Source organism: Homo sapiens, chromosome 12 (genome assembly GCF_000001405.40).
Source record: "Homo sapiens chromosome 12, GRCh38.p14 Primary Assembly".
Lineage (NCBI taxonomy): Eukaryota > Metazoa > Chordata > Mammalia > Primates > Hominidae > Homo > Homo sapiens.
Window position 1 is genome coordinate 91,981,719 of NC_000012.12, and position 25,198 is coordinate 92,006,916.

Genomic DNA, 25,198 nt, shown 5'->3' on the forward strand with positions numbered 1-25,198 from the left:
AGGTTCCCATCAATGGCAGACTGAATAAATAAAAGGTGGTACATATACACCAAGGAATACTATGCAGCCAAAAAAATGAAATCGTGCCCTTTGCTGCAACATGGATGCAATTGGAGGCCATAATCCTAAGCAAATTAATGAAGAAACAGAAAGCCGAATATTGCATGTTCTCACTTACAAGCGGGAGCCAAACAATGAGCACACATGAACACAAATATGAGAATAGACACCATGGACTTCTGAGGGGGTAGGAAAAAAGGAAAAAAGGGTAAAAAACTACCTGTTGGGTACTCAGCATCACACAAAATTCCCATGTAACAAACCTCCACATGTATCGCCTGTATCAAAAATAAAAGTAAAAATTAAAAAAATATATATCTTGGGGGAGAAAATAATGACACCTCATAGACAATAACTGTTATGAGAAGAATTGGGATCCATTTAAAAATTACAATGCTAGATTGAGTTTAAACAAGATTATAAAAGACAGAGATCTGATTTATTCACCAAGTTTGACCGTTAAAGAAAACCCCAACATGATGGGGCTCCTATCTTAGCAAAACCTGCCCATTACCTCAGCTTTATAAATCCCATCACATAGAAGACAACAGAGGTTCTGCAACTGCAAAATGAGAAAATAAAAATATGTTTTTCAGGGCACCATTGAAGAATCAAGGAGAGATAATTTATATAAAAGCAACCTGAAAACTATAAAATGTATATGTCTTAGCTATTATTATACTTATAAAGGGAGTTATGAGTTCTCAATAAGTACTAGATACTATTATGTGAAAACAAAATATAGTACAATGTTCAAAAGAAGTTATATTTGTGTACCACTTAAGAGTTTACAGGACATTTTTATATTTATTATATCTGTTCACTCTCATACTATCTCTGAAGGAAGGCAGGCAGGCAGTCATAGTTATATTTGTTTACCAAGAATAACTCTGAAGCTCAAGATAACATACATGGCAAAGCCAAGACTAAAGCATTCATTTTCTTTTGTGATCTCAGATCATGGCTCTTTTGTGCTTCTTTCAAAACAAGGGATATACATGTGTGTTACCTTGAGCTTTAATCTCTAAACTTAACTTCACTGGCCATATCTTTCTTTTAACAGTAAAGTAAAAATAGCATGAGCTAGCTCCCCTCCTTTTTAAGTGAAAAGCATCTCAGAAGTATGGAAGAAGCAGCAAAGCCCATGCCACTCCCACAACATCTCACATACTATCTTCCGGGGAGAACTCAAACTAGAACCATTTATTTCAGATAAAGTTTGGCATCCAGAAGGCCGTCATACCACTTAGCTATGCTGCAAAACAAAGCCTCCCAAAACTAAGTGGCTTCACAAGTTTATTATTGCTCACAAGTTTATGGCTCAGCTGAGCAGTTCTGGCCTCATCTGAGCTCACTTGTGCATCGGTGGTCAGCTGTGGGTTGAGTAAGCAGCTCTGTTGCTCTTGGTTGGACTTTCACACATATCTGTGGATGGCTAGGTGTAGGCTGCTCTAAGTTGTCCTCCTCTGGGACGGTAGGTCACTTGTGAACTTTCATCCTCCAGGAGGTTACCCCAGGCTTGTTCTTACGGCAGCAGCAGGATCCTGAGAGAAGTAACAAAAGTGGGTATGGCCTCTTCAGACCGGGGTGTAGAGCTGGCATGTTGTTCCTTCCACTGCATTCTCTTGGTAAAAGCAAATCACAGACCATTCCAGAGTCAAGGGCTGGGGAAAGAAATTCCACTTTTTGATATGATAAGCTGCAAAATCACATAGAAAAGGGAATGGATGGATATGGGGAGAATTGGAGAATTCGGGTCATCGTTGCAAGCATTCTACTGTAGCCATTATTATATCACGGAAGGGGGAACCCTGATATCAGCACACATGTTACACATTTGCAGGGATTAGTTGTCATCTTCAGCACGTTACTCAAGCAAGGAATTTGATAATAAATTATAATAATGTATTTCTAACGCATCTTTGTATTCCCAGCACCTAGCATAGCATCAGACAAATTCTAAGTATTCCACAAAAAATAATAATGACAAAAGAAATGGGAGTAGAAAAATTACTGTACTAGAAACCAGGGAATCAGCTGTAGCACAATTCACACAGGACAAATCCCCTGTGCAACTTTGGACGGAAGTGATTTTGCCTCCCCAGGATTTCAAGAGACAGAGTTAAACTGGGCATTCTCTAAATCCTTTCTTTTCTTTTTAACTTTCAAAATATTAAGGCTGTAAGAACCCTAGAAATTATGTAGATCCAACCAGTCATTAGCTACATGGGGAGACTGAGACTAGGAAAGCTAATCACCTGGCTTGAAAGCACAGGTGGTTCATGTCAGAGATTAGAACTCAGAGCTCATGACCCCCAGCCCAGTACCCCATGCACTACTCTAACACATTGTTATTCAGAGCGTATTCCATGAGCCAGTAGCATCTGCATCCCTTGGGAGCTTCATAGAAATGCAGAATCTCTCAGCCTATCCCAGGCCTACTGAATCAGAATCTGGATTTTTTTTTTACAAGGCTCTCAGGTAATTAATATGTGTATTAAAGTTGGAGAATCTCTACGTTTCCCGGTAAATGCTTAAGGGCTGAAAAACTAAAATAATGTATTTCGTTAAGGGAATATTCCGTTGCATATCTTAATACCAAAACCTTTTTTTCTATGCCCCTCTCACTAATTCATTTAACAAATATCCCCTGAGTGCTTACTGTATATGAGGTGTTGCACAAACCTAAAGGGAAGGCTCTTGCCCTCCTGGGGCTCACGTGTCACAGGGGAGTCAAAGCTCCTTCCTCTTTTCCTGCATCCTCCTTTCTCCCTCTATGCCCTCCTTTTGCCCTTTACCTTCCCAACCTCCTCTCACTTCCCGTTGTAATAATTCCTGACTAGGATCTATCTCATTTCTGAAGTCGTTGGTTTAAGAGCAAAGCATTTTATTCATTTGAAATTCCAGTTTCAGAATAGTGATTTAAAATGTTGGAAAAATTTGACTTGGCTGACTTCCAAGCAGCTTACATTATAACATCAGCATGACCCTAAAACCATGTATAAAGAAGACTAAAGCACTCAGAACACTTTGGGGGGAATACTCTATGAATACACTACAGGTTAGTCATACACTTTAGTTTTAATTTTTTTCTAATGCAGTCTTTTCTCTGGGAAGATATAAGTTTGGAAAGCTGAGATACGGGAACAAAACGACGAAGAGATTTTTTTTTTCCTGAAATATTTAGCTGGCACATCTGCATGTATAATAAAACATTTATTTTCTCATTGAGAAGGAAAGGAAAAATGTTAAATATCAACAGATTATTTTCATTCAAGAACCTTGTATGAAACACAGACAAACAGAAATCTAGTAAGTTAACTTTTTTTTTAATTAAAATAATGCCAGATACAAAGTTAACTATTTTCTGATGAGTAACGCAGGATGGAGTCTTTGCAATAAACAGCTGGACCACAAGTCGTGGTGACGTGATGCTGCTCAATTTCACTGAGGCTTACACGCCTGGCATTTTAACTTCCACTGTTTGAAAGTATTACACCTTTCTTTTTTCGCACTCCCTCACAGTTCTAAAAAGCTCTGAACTCATTTCGTTCTTCTTTTCTTCCCTTGTCTTTTCTCTCTTCAAAGATATTTCATGATGATTCTGCTTTTCAGAACTTTAGCTGAGAGTAATGAAATATCAATCTTTTGCACAATGGCAACTACATCCCTTTTCTGCTCTCTTGGGATAGTCAGAATAGCAACTGCCCAGCGTGAACAATAGGACTTCTTCTCAGTTCTGAGAGATTGGCTGTTGCTGAACAGCAGTGCATAGAAATAATCCTTGGCAATCCCATGGGTGACATTTCTCTTTCCTTATCACCCATGCTGCACACAGCCGGAACTTGATAAGACACCCAGAAAGAAGATAATGGCTGCTATCAAGCTGTCTAGGTAGAAATAATAATAATAATCTGTTTATGGAAGAGCAGCTGTCCTATTGTTTTGCATTTCATGAAATCTCAGAGTCAGAACCCTCTCTTCCATGCCAGCCCCATCCCCATTCCTCATGCCAATCCAATCACTTTGGGGTTTTAATGATGGGCATTTTATTCCCTGATCTTTTGATACAATAGACAAGGATGCATGTAAATCTCCCATAATCATATCCAGTCACAGGATGTGCTTAAAAGACTAGAGAAGAGGCATTGTATTGGAAGATTTGAAAGCTGGGAGGACGTTGTAATGAATATAGGCAAGCCCGGTATTCCTTTTTAAAATATGCACAAAACCCAGAATTACTGCAAATGAATAGTTCAGTTATCATTCCAGTCTGAAAGCTTAACCCCCCAAGGATTAAGGTAGGTAGGTCTCAATTTCTTAAAGTGGAGCCCCAAAGAATTGTGATACTACCAACAAGGCAGGTCACAGCTATGTTCACTGCTTTTTTTTGTGCACTGAACAGAATAGCCAAAGGCTTAGGAGCAGCCTGGCAGTAATGTCATTGTTCTCGTTTCTTTTGAGCCAGATTGCTCTCCTGGCTAGGGAAATATGCGGTCACTTTATTTACCAGTGTTCAGATCAAGCATTCCTTTCATCACTGTCACCTTCACAGAGGGCAGTCTGTGGATGTTACTTTCCTGTCTTTATCTGTCCACCTATCTCTGGAGAAAAAAATTAAGCAGCCATGCCCTTCAGGGTGAATCAAACAATTGAAAAGAAGAAAATATGTCAGTTTCTTTTTGCCTCCATCCAATACTTAACCACAGCCAAACTTGCATTTTCATTTCTAGAGAGGGTAGACACCTTCATTCCTAAAACAGTTATCCCACAAGGGTCCCACCATTGCAGAGAGCAGCAGGCCAGTGTTGTCTTTGTTTCTCTTTCCTGAGGCTTCCTAGAAGTCATCACAATCTCCAATTTATCCAGGCTGAGCTCACTTTCTCCTTGTGTCTCCTTTGAGTTAGGCATGGAAATAGCTAAAGGAGAACAAAGAGGAAAAATATATGGGCTTGTTCAGTGGAGAAACAGCCTTGAAGAACTTCCCACTAACTAGTTCCAGATGTCTCTTTGCACCTGAACAAGTCTACGTCTCATCCTACAAAACAAAGTCACACCCAGCTGAAATCTCTCTCTCCCTCCTTCCCACCCCCCCTTTCTCTCTCTCTCTCTCTCCTCTCCAGCCTCCACCTTTTCTCTCTCTGCTGTGTGAGTATCCCATACCCCAGAGGCATAGCTCAAGCACAACTTGCCCTATGAGGCCTTCCTCTACCCTCTTCCACCTTCTCCCACCCCGCAAGAGAACAAGTTAATCATGGTATTTTGTACATAGCTGTATTATAGCCTTTTATGTTCTGCATCATATGCCTTTCTTGCCAACCAGATTGTGAATCCAAGAAAGTAGGTAAATGCCTTTGTATCATGTTATTCATCTTTGGGAAGGCAATTTAACAAAGTGATTAAGAGAATGGGTTTTGCATCAAACAGATCTGAATGCGGATCCTAGCTCTAACATTAACTAGCTGCGTGCCCTTGAGTTTTCTGGAACTCGGTTTACTAATGTCTAAAATGGGGCTATTTCATAAAGTTTTTTAAGTGACTAAATGCATTAAAATATATGTATATAAAATATTTAGCATAATGTTGATATGCAATATGTTCTTGATAAATGGTAGCTATTATTATAATAAATTATAATTAACTTGGTATTCTCAGCCTCTCATAATAAATTATCAATAAATACATATTGAAGGATAAGATAAAAGAACAAATGAAATACACATACTGTATATACATATGCATATATACACATACCGTATATACATACACATACATACACATGACAGTGCATATACATAATCATCCTTCTGTGACAAATTGCATTGCTCTCTGCTTATCTGAGCTCTCAAAATGCAATTGGTAGACCTGCAGAGGGTATATGAGAGAAGGGAAGAAACTGATCACAAAAGAGTTTGCAGGGAATGTTCTTGGTAGCAGTTGTACTCTAAGCAATGACCTCACGAAGCACATAGGTTTCCCTCTGTGAGTGCCAAATTTGCCAGCCTCCTTCTGACACCTGGACAAAAACACAAAAACATCATTCAACCCTTGGATGATGATGTTGATAATGATGATAATGATGACGATGATAGCTAACATTTACTGACCAACTTCTATGTGTCAATCCCTCTCTACTCTCCCACTGTAGCCCTGGGTTAGGTAACATTGTTTAAATTTTACAAATAATGCAAATGTGCCCTCAAGAAATTAAGAAATTATTTTAGTTTATTCTGAAAATAGGTGGATGTTTCAGGACCCAAACCACCACATGAAGGTAGCAAGAGCAGCGTGCTTCTCATCCATGACCAGGCAGGCTAGCAAAGGGAAAAGCAGAGGTGATCAGGTCTATGTCCGCTTGCTGGAATTAGTCATGGCAGAATTCAGGAAGCAAGGAGCCGTGGCCTTTGACTTGCACTTCCTTCTCCCAATAGTCTTTTTTTTTTTGCACAAGTCATTATAAATCGCCTGGTCTCATACCATGAATGACTGTAAAATCCTGGAAATGTCTGGATTCAGACTTGGCATTTTCCCCCCTAAGACACCAAAGGGGTTAATCTCTGGCCAGTAATCAAAGTCTGGCAGCTTCTACTCCACACATAATGGGCATTGTTGTTCCTAAGAGTTTGTCTGTTTTTTCTGGCGGCTTTACTGTTTGGAACCAATTCTAAAACAGAAAAGGAAAGAGTCAATCTGCATTTTTTATGCACACATGCAACAAAACATAAGGCTGGTCATAGAACTGTTGTTTTGCTAGATTTCCAGGAAAGTTGTTGGCTTACTATTGAGAGAAGATGACTTATTGACTAAAATACATCTACCTCAAAAGGGAATTCATTTATATATGTAAGTGAGACACACATAATATCCTAAGGTGCTGCCTTCTCTCAGATATGAAGCAACACATTACAACTGTATTAGCTGATAAGTGAACTGTGGCTGGCCCACCCATCTGCATAGAAAATCCATTTGTGTGACGTTATTAATGTGCATGCTCATCAACCTTCCCAGGTCAATTGCAATCTCAGGACATGTTTGTCACTCCCACCTGATGGGCCCCCAGATGTTTCCATCTGAAGCCACGTGAATATGTCTTACTAAGTCACCAATACAACAAAATCCCATTACAAAACACCCGACTCTATTCCAGTGGAAAAGGCCAGGTTTTCTTTTTCTTAAATTTCCAATCAGTCACAAATCAACACTTTTGTATAAACCAAAATCATGCACTTAGATGTCAAAATAATGCACTTAGAAGTCACTAGCATTCTTAAATTGTTATATAAGTTTCTAAATAATTATTCACAGTTTCTGTACTCACCTTGTCATGAACCAATAACAAGCAGTTTGCAGATCAAACTCATCCATGGACCACACTTTGCTAGACCACTTTCTAGATGAAGGTTTCCAAACTTTTTCTATCAAGGATGAGAGGGCAAATATTTTAGGATTTGCAAGGCATGACTCAATTCTGTTGTTGTAATGTAAAAGCAGCCAGAGACAATAAGAAAATTAATACACTGTGTTCAGTAAAACTTTATTTATAAAAGCAGACCACAGGAGAGATTTGGCCCACCAGCTATAGTTCACCAACCCTTGGATGATGATGTTGATAATGATGATGATGATGATGATGATGATAGCTAATATTTACTGACCAACTTCGATGTGTCAGTGCCTCTCTATTCTCCCATTATAGCCCTGGGTAAGGTAACATTGTTTTAATTTTACAAATAATGAAAATGTGACATCAAGAAACTAAGAAATTATTTTAGTTCATTCTGAAAATAGGTGGATGTTTCAGGACCCAAACCACCGTCCCTAGGCTCACACTATACTACATATATAATGATTGAGACATCTTTTTCACAATTAATAAAAAAATTTAAAAATACTAGTATAATCTTGGTCATTTTCTTCCCTTTATCTCCCCACCCATCATCCACCTCAACAGTACCAAGCTCTTAGTGAACGATCATTCCAAAGAGTCTGTATATAGAGCAAGAGCCAGACATGAATACAGTCTGAAACAAACACACTCATTCAAACATACATTTATTCATTCAATAAATATGTATTGGGTGCTTACTCTGTATCAGGCATGAGTCCAAGGAATGGGGCTATAGTAGTGAGCAAAACACACAAGATCCTGTCCTTAAAAAGCTTACATTCTAGTATGGGGAAGTAGACAATCAGCAAATAAATATATTATGTTGGGTATTAAGATTCAGGGTTCAAAGAAAAATAAAGCAGAGTAAATAAGAGAATAGAGAGTGACAAAGTGCTTTTTTTTTAATCTAACTCTTTTATTATCTCTTCTTCACCAACTAAGATATGTACACTCCCAGCAGAGCTGTACTTTCAAATGTATCTACTAGGTATAAGCGCACATTTATAAGATGTTTTTGTACCATATTTGTACCAGTTATATTCTGCATAATTGTATAGAAAAAGACACTGAGAAAGAAACTATTTCATTAATTCATGCTGCAAATATTTATTGAGCACCTACGCTGGGCCGGGTGATATTTTTAAAACAGGGAATCCAACAGTGAGCCAAACGGACAAAGATGCTTGCTCTCATGGACTTCCATCATGGCCAGGAGAGTGGGAAAATAAACAAAAAACATAATAAACACATGTTAGAAGGTGATATGTAAAATGGAGAAAAGAAACGCACAGCAAGATAAGGAGATCAGGAGTACAGAGGAGAAACCAACAGGTTATAATTTAAAATAGTTGAACAACTTTCTCTTGATCAGGTAGTATGCAACTAAAATAACCCCCATTTGAAAATCAAGCCCTGGTTTTTAGTTCATTCATTCCTACAGTCAATGTGTCATCAACTAAAAGAAAACACAGGATGTTTTGCGTTGAATGTTCTATTTAAGTCCATAGAAAGAAATGTTATTCTTTCTAAGTCATTTTTGCCCTTTCCTTTCCCTTGCTTCAGAAAAAAATATTAGGGAGCTGGCAGCTGAAACAATGTAGGGATGGGAGAGGGGAAAGGAAGGAAAAACTAAAGGCCAACATTCATGCCGGTTGACTGTTTTAACAAGGATGTAGCTGTGATCCAGCCCTCCTGGATCCCAGTACAGCCTTGCTAGGAAGCCCACAAAAGCAGTGAGGACAGACAGTGAGCATTTTCCATTAAGTGTGGCATTCACTTTTTTCAAAAAGTTATGAGATGTTAATATAGATTTGAATTTTAATCAGATTTAATATGGGAACAGAGTATTTTTCTGCAAATGTGAAATTTTTCTAGGCTTTTGGGAAAATGTCATCCATATAAAGGCTAACTACTGTTTTACCTATAAAACTGCCATTCTTCATTGGTTTTTCAGGAAAGAAAAAGTACGATGATACAATGAAATATTATTGCAAAGATTTCTTATTTCTTGTGAACATTAATGGTTTCTGAGGGTATTTTAAAAATCAAACTAAGAACGCTTGTAAGCTTAAGGCAAGGATTACAGAATTTCAGTTAATAAATCAAGAAAACAGACATAACAAATCTATTTCTTGATAATAATAGTAATAATTTAAGAGCTCTCAACAAATTCTTTAAAATATCATGTAGACTTAGTGCTAGAAATGCCAATAGCAGTAATTCTGCCTCAAACCAAAAGGGGTTCAAAGTCAGGACTGCATGTCCAGAAAAAAATATACTTAGTGGCTACCACTCTCTGCTGCCAGCAATGTAATACTATTATCTCAGATGTATTGTGTTAGCAGCTACTGTATATCAAGCATTTTTCTGAATCCTTTTACAGACTGTAAAATAAATACTTTAGCAAACCCTTACCATAGCCATGTGAGGGAGACATTGTTCCCATTTAACAGATGACAACATTGGCTTAGAAATGTGACATAACTACCCAAGGGCATACAACAACTAACACTGGAATCTAATCCACATGTGTCTGATTCTGAAAGCAGCACCTTGGCCCATATTTTCTCCCTTCTTTTTTTTCCTCTGCATTACTTTTTCCCCACATACTCTTCCAAAAATATGTACTTATTTTACTATTTTTACAAAATTTTTGGAATATAATTTTTACATATTTACTACATCTAGTTGATTGACCAATCAGTGTATTCTGTAAACCTCAGGAAAGAAGTCCTCTGGGTTGTTACAGGGCAGGCTGGATCCTGGGAGTCACTATTATCTCTCTTAGATAAATCAAGCTGTTTTCTACATGACTAGTTTATCTAACAATTCATTGGTCAGACATCAGATAGGAACTCTCCCCCATCCTCAATCCGCTTCCTACCCACCCTCAACCCCAAGAATTCTCTAAAGGCCACTAAAAATCAAAAAAACAACATCAGAATTAGCATTTGCTGGAAATTAGGAAAATAGTGACAGAATTCCCTAAACCTCCTTTTTTTCAAGTCTGACTTTTGTATTCCTTAGAGAAAACAAAGGCAAAACCCCTTAAAATTGTGTTTGGGGGATGGACCTTTCCTGCAAGCTTGATATTTTCCATCTGTGCATATATTTGGATGTCTAAGCATGTGTTTATAACATATAATCCCATTATTAAATATACAGAATAATAAGAAAATATATTGGAGAGAGGGAAAACTATTTACTCAAAGGATTTTTTTACATTAAAATAGAAATCTCTACTGCATTCTTTTGCAAAATAAATTGCTAGGAACTGTGAGATGCCCATTTTTCTTTCTAACTCAGACCAGACAGGCAGACTGAGAAACTAAGCAACCTATGGCAAAGGCAGAAGGAAGGTGTGCAATGAGGGAATGGGGCAGCTCAGCTGGTATGCTAATGAGCTCTCCTCAAAACCATTGGCCCAAAATGTCTTAAATGGACTTCCATTTATAAAAATTAAATGTACCCATTTTTAAACTCACATATATAACCTATAGAAAGATCTGCCTAGGTAGTAAACTTGAATATGTGTATCAATGAATGAGAACATTGGTCTATGGATGTCAAGTCTGGTATGTATCAGAAGCGCTTGGAGTGGTTTTTAACTTAGGTAATTTGGGCACCACAGCTGACAATTCTGATTTAGTGGATCTGGGAGGAATTCAGGCATGGGCATCTTAACAAGTCCTTCCGAATCCACCCACATCCAACCACCATGTACATATATACACGTGATTCTGAAACACACCTAATTCTAGGCTATTTAATGGAAAATGGTCGATAGTTCCTCTATGTTGAGGGAGACAAGGTAGACATTCCACAGGACACCCTGGAGGAAAGGAATCATTCCTGACTTGTCCAAGATGTTAACTAAAAGGTATATGCAATCTTTATAAGGAGAAACTGATGCCCACAGCTCCTTAACTAATGCATTTGGTTTATAGAGCGTATTTTATTTAAAATTTTAAAGGCTACTGAAATTCCTCTCTCGAAACTCTCCCTCACTTACATAACCTTAGCCCTATTCTTACATTACCTAGCCCATTCTCTTTACTTCTATTATTGCAGTTTCTGACACATAATTTCAAATGAAGATCGATAGATGCTTCTAAGGGAAAAAATGAAAAACATTAGCTTTTCTCAATGCTCATTAAATTCATATGCGCTCTCTTGGTCAGCTGGGGCTGCCATAACAAAATACCATTGACTGGGTGGCTTGAACAGCAGACATTCATTTCTCATGGTTCTTGAGGTTGAGAAATCCAAAATCAAGATACTGGCCAATTTGGTTCCTCGGTGAGGGCTCTCTTCCTGTCTTGCGGTCAGTCATCTTCCCACCGTATCTTCACATAGTCAGAGGTCTGGAGGCAGGGCACAGGGGAGAGAGAAGGAGAGAGCGAGCACTCTGATGTTTTTTTCCTCTACTTATAAGGACACTAATTCCACCATGAGAGCTCCACCCTCAAGGCTCCTAAATCTAATTACCTAAAGGCTTGCATATCCAAATATCATTACACTGGGAATTAGGGCTTCAACATATAAATTTCAGAAGGACACAAACGGTCTATAACATGTACAAGGATAAACATTATATTCTTCAGAGAAGAGGCCATAAGCACCAGCCAACACATTGATATGCCAGGCCATTGTTCCCCCTCAAATGAGTCATTCCCAGTGAGAAAATTAACTTATTTAAAAGAATGTGAATCAATCTTATTTTCAAAAGAAAAATGCCAATGTCAGTTTCCACTATATCAGTAATCATGTATTTGTAGAAACAGAATGCTAACAAAGAATAAAATTCAAAAATCCAGCACTCAAGTTACCAACTTGGTGACAGTTGCCTAGTTAGTGACATCAACTGTTCAAAGGGAAGCAGGGAAAAATGACTAAAGTTATTCAACCATCTCTTAAATCTGTAATTCTGTCTATGAATTAGCCACTCTACTTCATGCTTCATTGCATATTTTTTGGAGATAGCTAATTTTTCTGATTTAATTTATTTCTCTGAGTTTAGTTACTTTTCAGAACATATTTTATAGAAGTACTATAAAGGCTAGTAAACTTAAAAGATGTTTCCATTTATACATGCCAAGGGTAGAACAGTTTTCTTCTCCCCCTATATTTCCATTAGTTAATACTTTAAAAAGCCCGTGAAATAGCATCTATTCTGTCATTTTATTATCTGCTTGCTCCCCTCCAGCCATCATGGGAAAGATTTTAAGTACAGACATGCTATCAGATCTTTACTTCTGGAAATAAGGAGTTTCTGCAGTGAATAACAGTTACATTCTAATTATATTAATTCAGGCTGCAATTTCTTTGAAATATAAAGGACCTGCTGTCAGGGTGGTGTGGACAATGGAGGCTGAACATGTCAATGACATGACAAATTCCTCGAGCAGAGTGCCAGATGTATTGTTGCCCAGGATTCTTTTTTGAGAGCAAATTCAGTAAGCACTACCAGTGTCAACTCTGGAGTAAGGAATTGGTTCATTTGTTATCTTTCCAAGTTGCAGGTACATCTGCCAGAAGAGTCTGCCAACAGATGAATTGGTAATTAAAATCATTTCCGTGGCTATAGGGAGTGATTCCGAAATTGTTTCGCTTTTATTTCTTTCTTTTCCTGTGTAGAGGAAAAAATACTTTGGTGAATATTGATATGAATTTACCATGGGCAATACTAGAATTATGTGATTCATGAGTGCCTCACTATCCACATTCATACATGATCACCTTTGCTGGGATTTTAAGCTTTTCTTATAGAATTTTAAATTTCCATTCTTTGCCAGTTCTGTATGTTAGAATAATGCTTCATCTTATAAGTTCTTTGCAGATATAACAATACCTGATATAGGTCAAATACACTTAATAATACCACTCAATTTAAGAAACGGTATATTGTATCCCTTGCCTATTCAAGCTACTATGCTAAAATAAATAATAAATAATGTTGATAAATTTAAAATGTTGATAATTTAATTAAAATTAAAAATACATTATATAATATGAAGCAGGTGCTAGTGTAATATCTGCTCATAGTAGTTACCTAACAAATATCATTTTAGCTCTTCTTTTCTGTCCAGAAAGATACTACTTTGCCATCCACGTATCTATACCACATCACCATCATCATCATCACAACAATGAAAACAAAATAAACTAACATTTATTGACCATTTCCTATAAACAATCTAAGCATTTTATATGTATTCATTTACTTTATCCTTACAAAACTCTGCTTTGTATCCTTGTTGTACTATTGAGGAGGATCAGCCAAAGAGAAGTAACTTGCCCACACTGACACCACTAGGAAGTATCAGACCTAGAGATTTTACCCAAGTAGTCTGAATCTCAAGCACTCAAGCTTAACTACTTTCCAATAATGTCACGTAAGACCATATAAATAAATTAACTACAATAATTTTCCCAAATTGTGCAATAGCCCATTAATTGACTTGTCTTTTATTAGTCATTTGCTTACTCTTTTTTTCTTTTCTTCCTCTTCTCTTTCTCTCCTTCCTTCTTGTTCTTGTGTGTGTGTGTATATATAAAGAGATATATATTTATATATTATATATTACATATATAATATATATAACATATAATATATAATATATATTATATATTTATATAATATATATTACATATATAATATATATTATATATTGCATATATATCTATTATATATAATACATTACATATATTAGATATATAATACATTACATATATTATATATATATAATATATATGTAAAGAGAGACAGAGAGAGAGCTGCTTCTCTTTTTTAGCAACAAAGCAAGGTTTTCTACCATCCTCAGAAACTCAGAGGAGTCTTTATGAGAACTGCTAAATAGAAAATACTGTTCTAAAATTAAATTTTTAATTGTCTTATGGATTACTTTATTTAAAACTAGACAACAAAGTAGGTTTATAAATGTTGGTGACCTATGAGTTTACAATCAAGTTATTAGGATATGATGTGTGTATACATATATGGATATGTGCATGTAGGTACACATACATATATATAGCTATATATACACATATAATAGAGCATTGGAATACTTCAAATATGTTTAAATATGTGACGTCTTAGTGATCTTAACAGAAACAACAATTCATGTTTACCTCAGAGGAGAGAACCAACTCATTATTTTGCAAACTGCTAGATGAGGTAAAGAACAAAACATTTATCCTGGGTTTTGTTACTGTAGATACAAGTAGGAAATGGGGAGGGGAAGAAGTTTCTCCTTACAGAAATACCCTAGTCAATAAATGAAGAATGAATCGTTAGTGGATACATGTTATTTTATATTTGTCAAAACCTATAGAATGTATAACACCAAGAGTGAACCCAAAGAAAGGATGGACTTTGGGTGATAATAATGTGTCAATGTACATCCATCAATTGTAAACAGCTTACCACTCTAGTGAGGAATATCAATAATGAAGGAAGCTATGCATGGGTGGGAGCTGGGGGTACATGGGAATTTTACATACTTTCCACTCAACTTTGCTGCAAACCTAAAACTGCTCTAAAAAATAAAGTCAATTTTTTAAAATCATAAAATTAAGATATCACCACTTTGCAATAGCAAAAGAATTGATTAATCCAGGCAAAAATCCTCAATAGTTGTTAACATTTCACACATGCACATTTCCACTTATGGAAATATATACCACTATTTGTGAAGTAATCTTGCCAAAACCATGGAAGCAGAATCTGATCTCTAGCCGTAACTGTGAATTTAAAAGAAGTGCATTGTACAAGATGATGAATATGTTTGAGAACACATTAGGGATGGAATCAAGACAATTCAAATTATTAGAAAATCTTCAGTTAAAACAATCTCGTTTCTCCAATAAGACCAAGGAAAAGAAAAAAAAAGGGACCAAGAAAAAAAAAAGTAGAGATGAAGATAGAGCCTACAGGTTAAAAGAGACCCTAGAAATATATCAAATAATAATAAATCATGAACCTTGTTTAGATCTGGATTTGATTGTTAAAAAAATAGATGGTAAGATAATTGGAGATACGTGTATACTGACTACATATTAATTGATATTAGAAACTATTGTAATGTTTTTAGGTGTCATAATGGTATTTTATTTTAAAGAATCCCTATCTCTTAGAGACCCAAACTGAAAGATATATAGGTAAAAAGAAATTAATGCTTGGAGCTTTGTCTCAAAATAATGGGAAAAAGACCCAACCCAACTATATGCTGCATACAAGAAACTCATCTCACCTGTAAAGGGTTACAGAGGTTGAAAGTGAATGAATAGAAAAAGATATTGCAAGTAAATGGAAACCAAAAGGGAGCAGGAGTAGCTGTACTTATATCAGAAAAAATAGACTTCAAGTCAAAAGCTGTAAAAAGAAACAAGCAAGAACATTACATAATAATAAAAGAATTAATTCAGCAAGAAAATAAAACAATTGTAAATATATATGCACCCCACACTGGAGCACCCAGACATATAAAGAAAATATTATTAGACCTGAACAAAGAAATCCCAATACAATAGTTGGGGACTTTGACAATCCACTTAGCATTCAGCAGATCATCTAGACAGAAAATCAACAAAAAAAAAAATCTGATTTAAACTGCACCATAAACCAGATGGACCTGACAGACATTTACAAAACATGTCATCCAACAGCTACAGAATACACATTCTTTTCATCAGCACATGGAATTCTCCTGTAATGCCTATATATTAAGACTCAAAACAAGTCTCAAAAAAATTTTAAAAATTAAATTATACCAAGTATCTTATCTGACCATAATAGAATGCAACTAGAAATCAGTAACAAGAGGAACACTTGAAACTATACGAATGCATGGAAATTAAACAACCTACTCTTAACTAATGAATGAAGAAATTAAAAATAAAATTAGAAAATTCCTTGAAACAAAAGAAAATCAAAATACAACATCCCAAAACCTATGCAACACAGCAAAACCAGTATTAAGACAAGTTTATAACAATAAATACCTACCTCAAAAAATTAGAAACATTTCAAATAAACAACCTAATGATGCATCTCAAAAAACTAGAAAAGCAAGGACAAGTCAAACCTAAAAGTAGTAGAAGGAAATTATAAAGATCAGAACGGAAATTAATAAAATTGAGACTAAGAAAACATAATTTTAAAAATCAACCACAAAAAAAGTTGGCTTTTCAAAAACGTAAACAAAAGTCTCCCATCAACAACAACAACAAAAACTCCAGGACTAGATGACTCCACTGCTGAATTCTACCAAAGTTTTACAGAAGAAGTAATACCAATTCTCTCAAAAAAAACTGATGCAAAGGGAGTTCTTTCTTACTCATTTCATGAGACCAGCACAACCCTAATACCAAAACCAGACAGGAACACATACACAAAATGAAAATTACGAGCCAATATCCCTGATGAACAGAGACATAAAAATCTTCAACAAAATACTGGTAAACAGAATCCAACAACAGATCAAAAAGATAATATACCATGATCAAATGGGATTAATCCCAGGAATGCAAGAATGGTTCAACATATGCAAATTAACAAAAGTGATACATCCTATCAACAGAATGAAGGACAAAAACCATATGATCATTGCAATAGATGCAGAAAAAACATTTGAAAAAACTCAACACCCCTTCATATAAAAATTCTCAATAATTAAGTATAGAAGGAAGGTACCGCCAAACAATAAAGACCACATGTGACAGACTCACGGCTAACATCATATTGAATGGGGAATAGCTGAAAGTAAGAACTGGAACAGGACAAGGAGGCCCATTTTCACTACTGTTTTGTGATATGGTACTGGAAATCCTAGTCAGAATAATTAGGGAAGAGAAAGAAATAAGGGGAATCCAAATTAGAAAGAAGGAATTCAAATTGTCCCTGTTTTCACAGGACATGATCTTATATATAGAAAAACCTAGACTCCACCAAAAAACTCTTAGAACTGATAAACAAATTCAGTAAAGTTACAGGATACAAAATCAATATGTGAAAATCAGTAGCATTTCTATACACCAGCAATGAATTAGAAATCAAGAGGCCGGGCGCGGTGGCTCACGCCTGTAATCCCAGCACTTTGGGAGGCCGAGGCGGGCGGATCACGAGGTCAGGAGATCGAGACCATCCTGGCTAACACGGTGAAACCCCGTCTCTACTAAAAATACAAAAAATTAGCTGGGCGAGGTGGCGGGCGCCTGTAGTCCCAGCTACTCGGGAGGCTGAGGCAGGAGAATAGCGTGAACCCCAGGGGGCGGAGCCTGCAGTGAGCAGAGATTGCGCCACTGCACTCCAGCCTGGGCGACAGCGAGACTCCGTCTCAAAAAAAAAAAAAAAAAAAAAAGAAATCAAGAAGGCAATCCCATCTACAATAGCTACAAAATAAAATAAAATACTTATGAATAAATTTAACCAAGGAGGTGAAAATTCTCTACAAGGAAAACTGCAACACACTAATGAAAGAAATTGAAGAGAATACAAACAAATTGAAAAACATCCCACGCTCACAGATCAGAAGAATTAATATTGTTGAAATGACCAAACTACCCAAAACAATCTACATATTTAACACAATTCCTATCAAAATACCAATAACATTCTTCATGAAAATAGAAAAGCCATTCCCAAATATTGTATGGAACCACGCAAGACCTCAACCAAAACAATCCTGAGGAAAAAAAGAAAAAAAAAAAAAAGCTGGAGACATTACACTACCAGGCTTTAAAATATACAATATATTACAAAGCTGTAGTAACTAAAACAACATGGTAATCACATACATAGACCAGTGGAGCAGATTAGAGAACTCCAAAATTAATCCATATATCTACAGTCAACATATAACATCATATTGCATCAGATTCCTGACATATGCAACATATAACATCAGATTCCTGACAAAGGTGTCAAGGACATACATTGGGGAAAGGACAGTCACTTCCACAAATGGTGATGGGAAAACCAGGTACCCATATAGAAGATAATGAAATTAGACCCCCACATATCATCCTATACAAAAAACAACTCAAAATGGATCAAAGACCTAAATGTAAGACCTGAAATTATAAAACTACTAGAAGAAGACATAGGAGAAACACTTCAAGACATTGTTCTGGGAAAATAATTTTGGTTTTTTTTTTGGTAGAGATGAGGTTTCACCATGTTGCCCAAGCTGGCCTCAAACTCCTGGGCTCAAGTGCTGGGATTACGGACATGAACCACTGTGCCCAGCCTGGAAAAGATTTTATAAATAAGACCTCAAAAGCACACACAACAAAAGCAAAAACAAAATGGGATTATAACTAAAAAGCTTCTGAATAGCAAAGTAAATAATCAATAGAGTGAAAAGATAACCCACAGAATAGTAGAAAATATTTGCAAACTACTCATCCAAAGGGTATTAATATCTAGAATACACAAGGATCTCAAACATCTCAACAGCAAAATAAAAAATCTGATTTTAAAATGGACAAATGCTCTGAACAGACATTTCTCAAAAGAAGACAAACAAATGGCCAAAAAATACATGAAAAGATGCCCAACATCACTAACCACTAGGGAAATGCAAATCAAAACCACAATGACGTATCATCTCACCCCAATTAAGACGGCTATTATCAAAAAGACAAAAAATAACAAATGCTGGTGAAGCTGCAAAACCAAGGAAACTCTTACACACTGTTGGTGGGAATGTAAACTAGTATAGCCACTATAGAGAAATGCATGAAATTTCCTGAAAAGTCTACAAATAGAACTATCATTTGATCCAGCTATCCCCCTACTGGGCAATTATCCAAAGGAAAGAAAATCAGTGTATCAAAGAGACATCTGCACCCCCAGCAGCACCATTCTCAATAGCTAAGATTTGGAATCAATTTAAGTGTCTAACAACAGATGAACGGATGAAGAGAATGTGGTAGGCTGGGCTCAGTGGCTCAAGCCTATAATCCTAACACTTTGGAAGACCGAGGTGGAAGGATTACATGAGGCTAGGATTTCAAAACTAGCCTAGGCAGCATAGAAAGACCCCATCTGTACAGATGGAAAAAAAAATTAGCCACTCATGATGGTCCAGCGTACTGTAGTCCCAGCTACTCAAGAGGCTGAGGAAGGAGGATTGCTTGAATCCAGAAGTTGGAGGCTTCAGAAAGCCATGATCATACCACTGCACTCCAGCCTTGGTAATAGGGAAAGACCTTGTCTCAAAAAGTAAAAGAAAAGAAAGGAAATATGGTATATATACATAATGGAATACTATTCAGCCTTTAAAAAGAATGAACTCTTTTTATTCATGGCAACATGGATGAAACTGGAAGACATTATTTTAAATTAAATTAGCCAGGAACAGAAAGTTAAACACCACATGTGGAAGCTAAAAAAAAAAGTTGATCTCATAGAAGTAAAAAGTAGAATAGAGGATGATGATAGAGGCTGGGAAGAGAAAGGGGAAGAAGGAGGATAGGGAGAAATTTGTTAAAAGACAGTACAGCTAAGTAGACAGAATAAGTTCTAGTGTTCTGTGGCACTGTAGGATGCCAATTGCCAATAATAACATATTACATAGTTTTAAATACCTAGAAGAAAGGCATTGAAGGTTTCCAGTGAAATGAAATGATAAATGTTTGAGATGATGAACATGCTAATTACCCCTGATAGGATCACTATGCATTACACGTATCACAGCACCACTATGTACCCCATACATTATTATGTGTCAGTTTTTAAAATGTTTAAATAAAAAGTAAAAATAAGTAAAAGATAATGGGGGGAGTAGATGGTGATTGACAAAATTGACCCTGAATTAGTGAAATAAGCATGGAAGTTCATTATTTCATCTTCTCTTATATATATTTGAAATCTTTTCCAATAAAAGTTTATATATAACTTGGCAATTAACTTACCAAAGCCTGTTTTCTTATTTATTAAACAGAAATAACAATATCTACAGCAGAGATAATATCTCCTTATAGATTTTTCTGAAATTTTAAGTAGTATATTTAAATCACATGGCACACAGTGGCTGTTAGATAATTTGTGGGGACTCAGTTTGACCCACTTATTGCTGAATTGGCTGGTCTGAAGTTAGGGAGTTTTTGCGCTATTCCTACAGCATAGCAATGCTGGGAGGGTGAGCAAGGGACAAGAAAAACCTATGTCCACATGAGTCACCCTTTCAGGCACCACAAAGATGCTGGTGGGAGATTTTGGCTTTTTTGTTTTTGTTTTTTTTTAAAAGTTCAATCTTCAAATGAGTTACTATTTTTGGATTTGTGAGCCCTGGAATATGCTGGTGCTGGTAGACACACTGGGTTGGCTAAGTGTTTATTCAGTCCCAGGCAACTCCAGGTGCAGGTAGAGAAGGTGCAAATATATCTTATCTTCCAAAGCCATTTACTCAGGCTCCCCCCTCACTTCCACAGGCAGTTTTCTTTTATGAAATACCAAAAATATCAGATTATCTTCAAAACTAAATAATTCTAAACCTCCCAGTTTCCCCAACTCATTCCAATTCTCCCTGATTATTTTCTTTTTGCTTTGCATTCCTGTACTACTTAGCCTTACCCTTGTTCGCAAAAGACCAAAGTGTAAAGCAAAAAAATTAAACAGTGAAGTACAGAGGCACCAAGGCCGGAAAAGATTAGATTGCTCAGAGGCACAGTCTGCTTTCAGAGATGATAAGCCCTGAGTAGTTCTTCTGGTTAGTTTTTCAATGGCTGAATTTTTTTGGCTCTCTGGATACTGCTGGAGACTTCAGTTTGTTAAGAGCTAACCCTGGACTCTCTCCCGTTCCTGCCTGCATGTCAATTCATCTTATTTCTAATAAAGCCAATTCTTATTTTTCTAACTTGTTTCCAATTCTCAAATGTAGCTCCAAAGAAAACAGAAAGTAATTAAAATGTCAACACTTCCCTGAAAAAGAACATAAACTCTCTTTGGATTTTCTTCCCATTGGAAATGTTACTTTTCTCCAAGGTGCCTGGGCCCCATGTGTGGCAACCAGCTGTCACCCACAGCAGACCCATCAGGCAATGCACATAAATCCCCTCTGTTCATTACTCTCGTTTGCATTTCTTCTTCTTCCTTACCATTTTCCAAATGGAGAGATCCTATAAATGAAGTACTTATGCCTGTCTCTTATAATGGACTAATATCTACGCCAATGTAATATATCCAAATTGTATGCAATATGAAATAAGCTCCAGCAGCAATAAGCTATTTAATCTAATGTGGAAAAAGCAATGTGGAGCCTAACAGCTTATTATTTAGTGCAGTGCAATAAATTAACTAAGCACCATTTTGCATAATAAGAGCTGATTATTCCTTTTACCTTCATTTGGATTGGTTTGGATGGGTTATGACTGTCTTCAGAGTTAATCGGGTTTATGTGAAACAACTTCTTTTTTAAATGTATTCCATTAAAGAATGAAATAAGGAAGAGCAAACATGTGCCATTATTTTGCGATTGGTGTTTTTGAGGTTAGTCTTTTAGAAGAAAATTCCCCATTAACAGGCAAACGTTGTGACCATTGTCCCAGAACTCTTTAATTGGAAAGAAGCCAATATTTGTCTCCCTTCTCACCCTTTTTCTACTTTTCCCTGTAGATTCCTGCCATTCCCTTGACTCGATTTTTCAAAGCACTTTTAGTAAAACACTTGGTTTCTTCTTTCCAGTATCTCTCCAACCCTGGCCTCTCTCATCCCCACACCCAATTACTTAGCACTTTGAGGTACATATCAGACTGATCAGCACCACTGGTCAGTAAGTGCAGCCGTTCTATCTAGTGTTACAGCCAGACCTCCCACCAAAGGTCTCCAAAATGCATCAATAAGTATCAAAACACATGTCAACAACAATGGCTGCAGCAAATCATCATAACTAGCATTTTAGAGAGCTGAACATGATGCTAGCACCTTAAAGAGGCATCTTATAGTAACCCCATAAGGTAGATATCATCATCATCATCCCTATTTTACAAGTGGAAATTGTGTCTGATCAAGATTAAATATGAGGGCTTGATTCTGAATAACATCAAAATCTTTGTAACATGTTATATTATCTGCTGGGGGGTAAAAAATAAAACATGTTAGCGAAAAAGTCTCTCTCTGTTTCTGCATTACTGTCCAGGGAAAAGCAATTCAAAGTGGGTGTCCTATCTGCAGTGAGGCCAAACCTTCAAAATCACTTAGATGAGGTTATTTTTACAGTACTTAGGATACATGTGGGGTCTGCCACCTCTGCCCTTTATAGAGATTTGCATTCCTTTTCTGGATTAATAAACTGCTTGAGGTTAGGACGTGTATTTTCTACACAATAGGACATCAGTGTGGTATAACGTCTGAGTCAGAAAATCCTAGGTTTTTGGGTTTTCTTGTTTGTTTGTTTGCTTGCTTGCTTTAGAGACAGGGTCTCACTCTGTCCCCCAGGCTGGAGTGCAGTGGCACAATCAGTTCACTGCAGCTTTGACACCCTAGGCTCAAGTAATCCTCCCACCTCAGTCTCCTGAGTAGCTGGGACTACATGGATGCACCACTGCACACAGCTAATTTTCTAATTTTTTTGTAGAGTCAAGATCTAACTATGTTGCCCAGGCTGGTCTCAAAGAAAATCCCACTTCTGGGATCAAGTGATCCACCCTCCTCAGCCTCCCAAATTCCTGAGATTACAGGCATGAGCCACTGCACCTGACTGAAAACCCCAGGTTTTAATTTTGGCTCTATTTACCAGTAACTATAGCAAGCTCTAGTCTGCTTAAAATAAAAGTAGGTAAATATACCTCATAGAGCTGTTAAAGACAGTAAATGAAATAACATAAACACATAGCACAGGTGATAAAATCAATAAATTCTAGTTCTCTCTCTCTCTCCATACTCATTCCACCTCTAATATCTAAGCATCAGTTTTCTACACATGGAAATATTCCATGGAAGTGTCAAGGACAGTAAAGTGTGAATGAAAGCCTGACTGAAACTCTTTCCTTGCATTATTTTCTCTTAACGATAATTCATTGCCACATATTTACCCGTCTCACCAAAATGATATTTTTAAAAAGTGATTTTAATTCTACAACTTTTAATTCTACAACAATTCATAAAGTGAGTAAAGGTAACTGTCATTCTTATCTAATAGCCCTTTTCTTCTAAATTCTCCTTCTCTATTGCTTCATTTCTCTTCTCCAAGTTGTGGCAGTAAGCACCACTGATTATCTAAGGAAGCTTTGAATCAAGGTCAAGGACATCTAATTTTAAATTTTATCTCCTCACTCTTCTGACATGAAACTTTCCTTTCACTTTAGGAGGAAAAAAAAGAGCTAAGAAGAATAGCAAAAGACAAACCTGAAGTCTTTCAAAACTTTAAGGAGAAATTCAAGAAGAAGCCAAATTGTGATGTCATCCACACACATGAAAAATTATATGGCAAATTTTACTTAACATTATAAATGGCTTCAAGTTTTAAAGATGCATGAGGGGAAACATTATTCTTTGGACATATTTACACATTGTTGGGTTCTAAATGAAATGGTTCATAACAAAAAAATTATGGACAAGCCGGGCGCGGTGGCTCATGCCTGTAATCCCAGCACTTTGGGAGGCCGAGGCGGGCAGATCACAAGGTCAGGAGATCGAGACCATCCTGGCTAAAACGGTGAAACCCCGTCTCTACTAAAACTACAAAAAATTAGCCGGGCATGGTGGCGGGTGCCTGTGGTCCCAGCTACTTGGGAGGCTGAGGCAGGAGAATGGCGTGAACCCGGGAGGCAGAGCTTGCAGTGAGCCAAGATCGTGCCTCTACACTCCAGCCTGGGTGACAGAGCAAGACTCCGTCTCAGAAAAAAAAAAAAAATTATGGACAGTTTTCTTCAATGAATGACAAGTTGTTTCATCTTTGGTTTATGACATCTTTTCCTTTAGAGAACTCGAACTGTTTAATATTTTTTTGAGTTAAAAGAAGAACATTATTTGATGGAATTCGAGTTGATAAAATGACAGCTCAGAGAGATTAAGTAAAATATACAGAGCCACACAGCAAATTATTGTCCAATATTTTAAAATTTTGAATTGAGAGAGTGGGAAAGCTTTAAAAAGAAAAAAAAAGACAATATGCTGGGTAGAGCAGCTTACTTGAGAATTAAAATTTTGTTCTTGAGTCTCCCTCTCAATGCCCTAAGGGAATGCACAACTTAATTGAATGTGGGAGGCAGTGGGGGAATATATGAGATGAAACTTTGCCTAGAAATCTGGGAAGGGGAAGAAAAGTGATGCTTAAGGTTGAGCCTTCCAGAATGAATTGGACTTCCCAAGATCAACATTGTGAAGTAAGAGTGATGGGTTGGGGAGGAGAAGGCATTCCAGGCAAATGGCAGGCTGTGCTTGGCATGAAAACATGGGTGTAAACCTTTTATGTTGTGAACAATGAAGGGGCTAGAAGCTAGATCATGATTAGGTTTGCCTTTTGGAAGGATGAACATGACAAAAATAAAGGGTAGAGCTAAAATTGGGACCAAAGAGAACAGCTAAGGAGCTCTTATCGTTGTCAAGGGTGTTGGCGGGGGTGGGGGGGTCCGCTCTGTAACACTTATTTGAGTTGAGCAAGGTGGATCACCCATCAAAGCTGGTCCTCATGCTGCACATCCTACTCTTCTCACATATAAATCACATTGCATCTCAGCAAATTACAAATAATGTCATGTATCTCTGGGATGGCTCTAAAATGACTAATTTGTTCAAGCCAT

At 36.9% G+C, this 25,198-nt stretch overlaps 1 long non-coding RNA gene across 5 annotated transcripts in view; it reads right to left on the reverse strand.

Moving 5' to 3' along the window:
• Positions 1-3,257: 3,257 nt before the first annotated feature.
• LINC01619 (long intergenic non-protein coding RNA 1619) overlaps positions 3,258-25,198 on the reverse strand; it is a 157,856-nt gene continuing 135,915 nt past the window's right edge. For 2 of the 5 annotated variants that reach the window (NR_046160.2, NR_046159.2), the window contains exons 2-6: positions 11,652-11,811; positions 8,570-8,644; positions 7,379-7,475; positions 5,838-5,925; positions 3,258-4,979 (exon numbers count right to left, since the gene is read on the reverse strand). This is a non-coding gene — a long non-coding RNA (long intergenic non-protein coding RNA 1619). Of the gene's footprint in view, positions 4,980-5,814; positions 6,077-7,378; positions 7,476-8,569; positions 8,645-11,651; positions 11,812-25,198 lie in introns of all 5 variants that reach the window. The other 3 variants (NR_132340.1, NR_132341.1, NR_132339.1) reach the window with 3 other exon arrangements.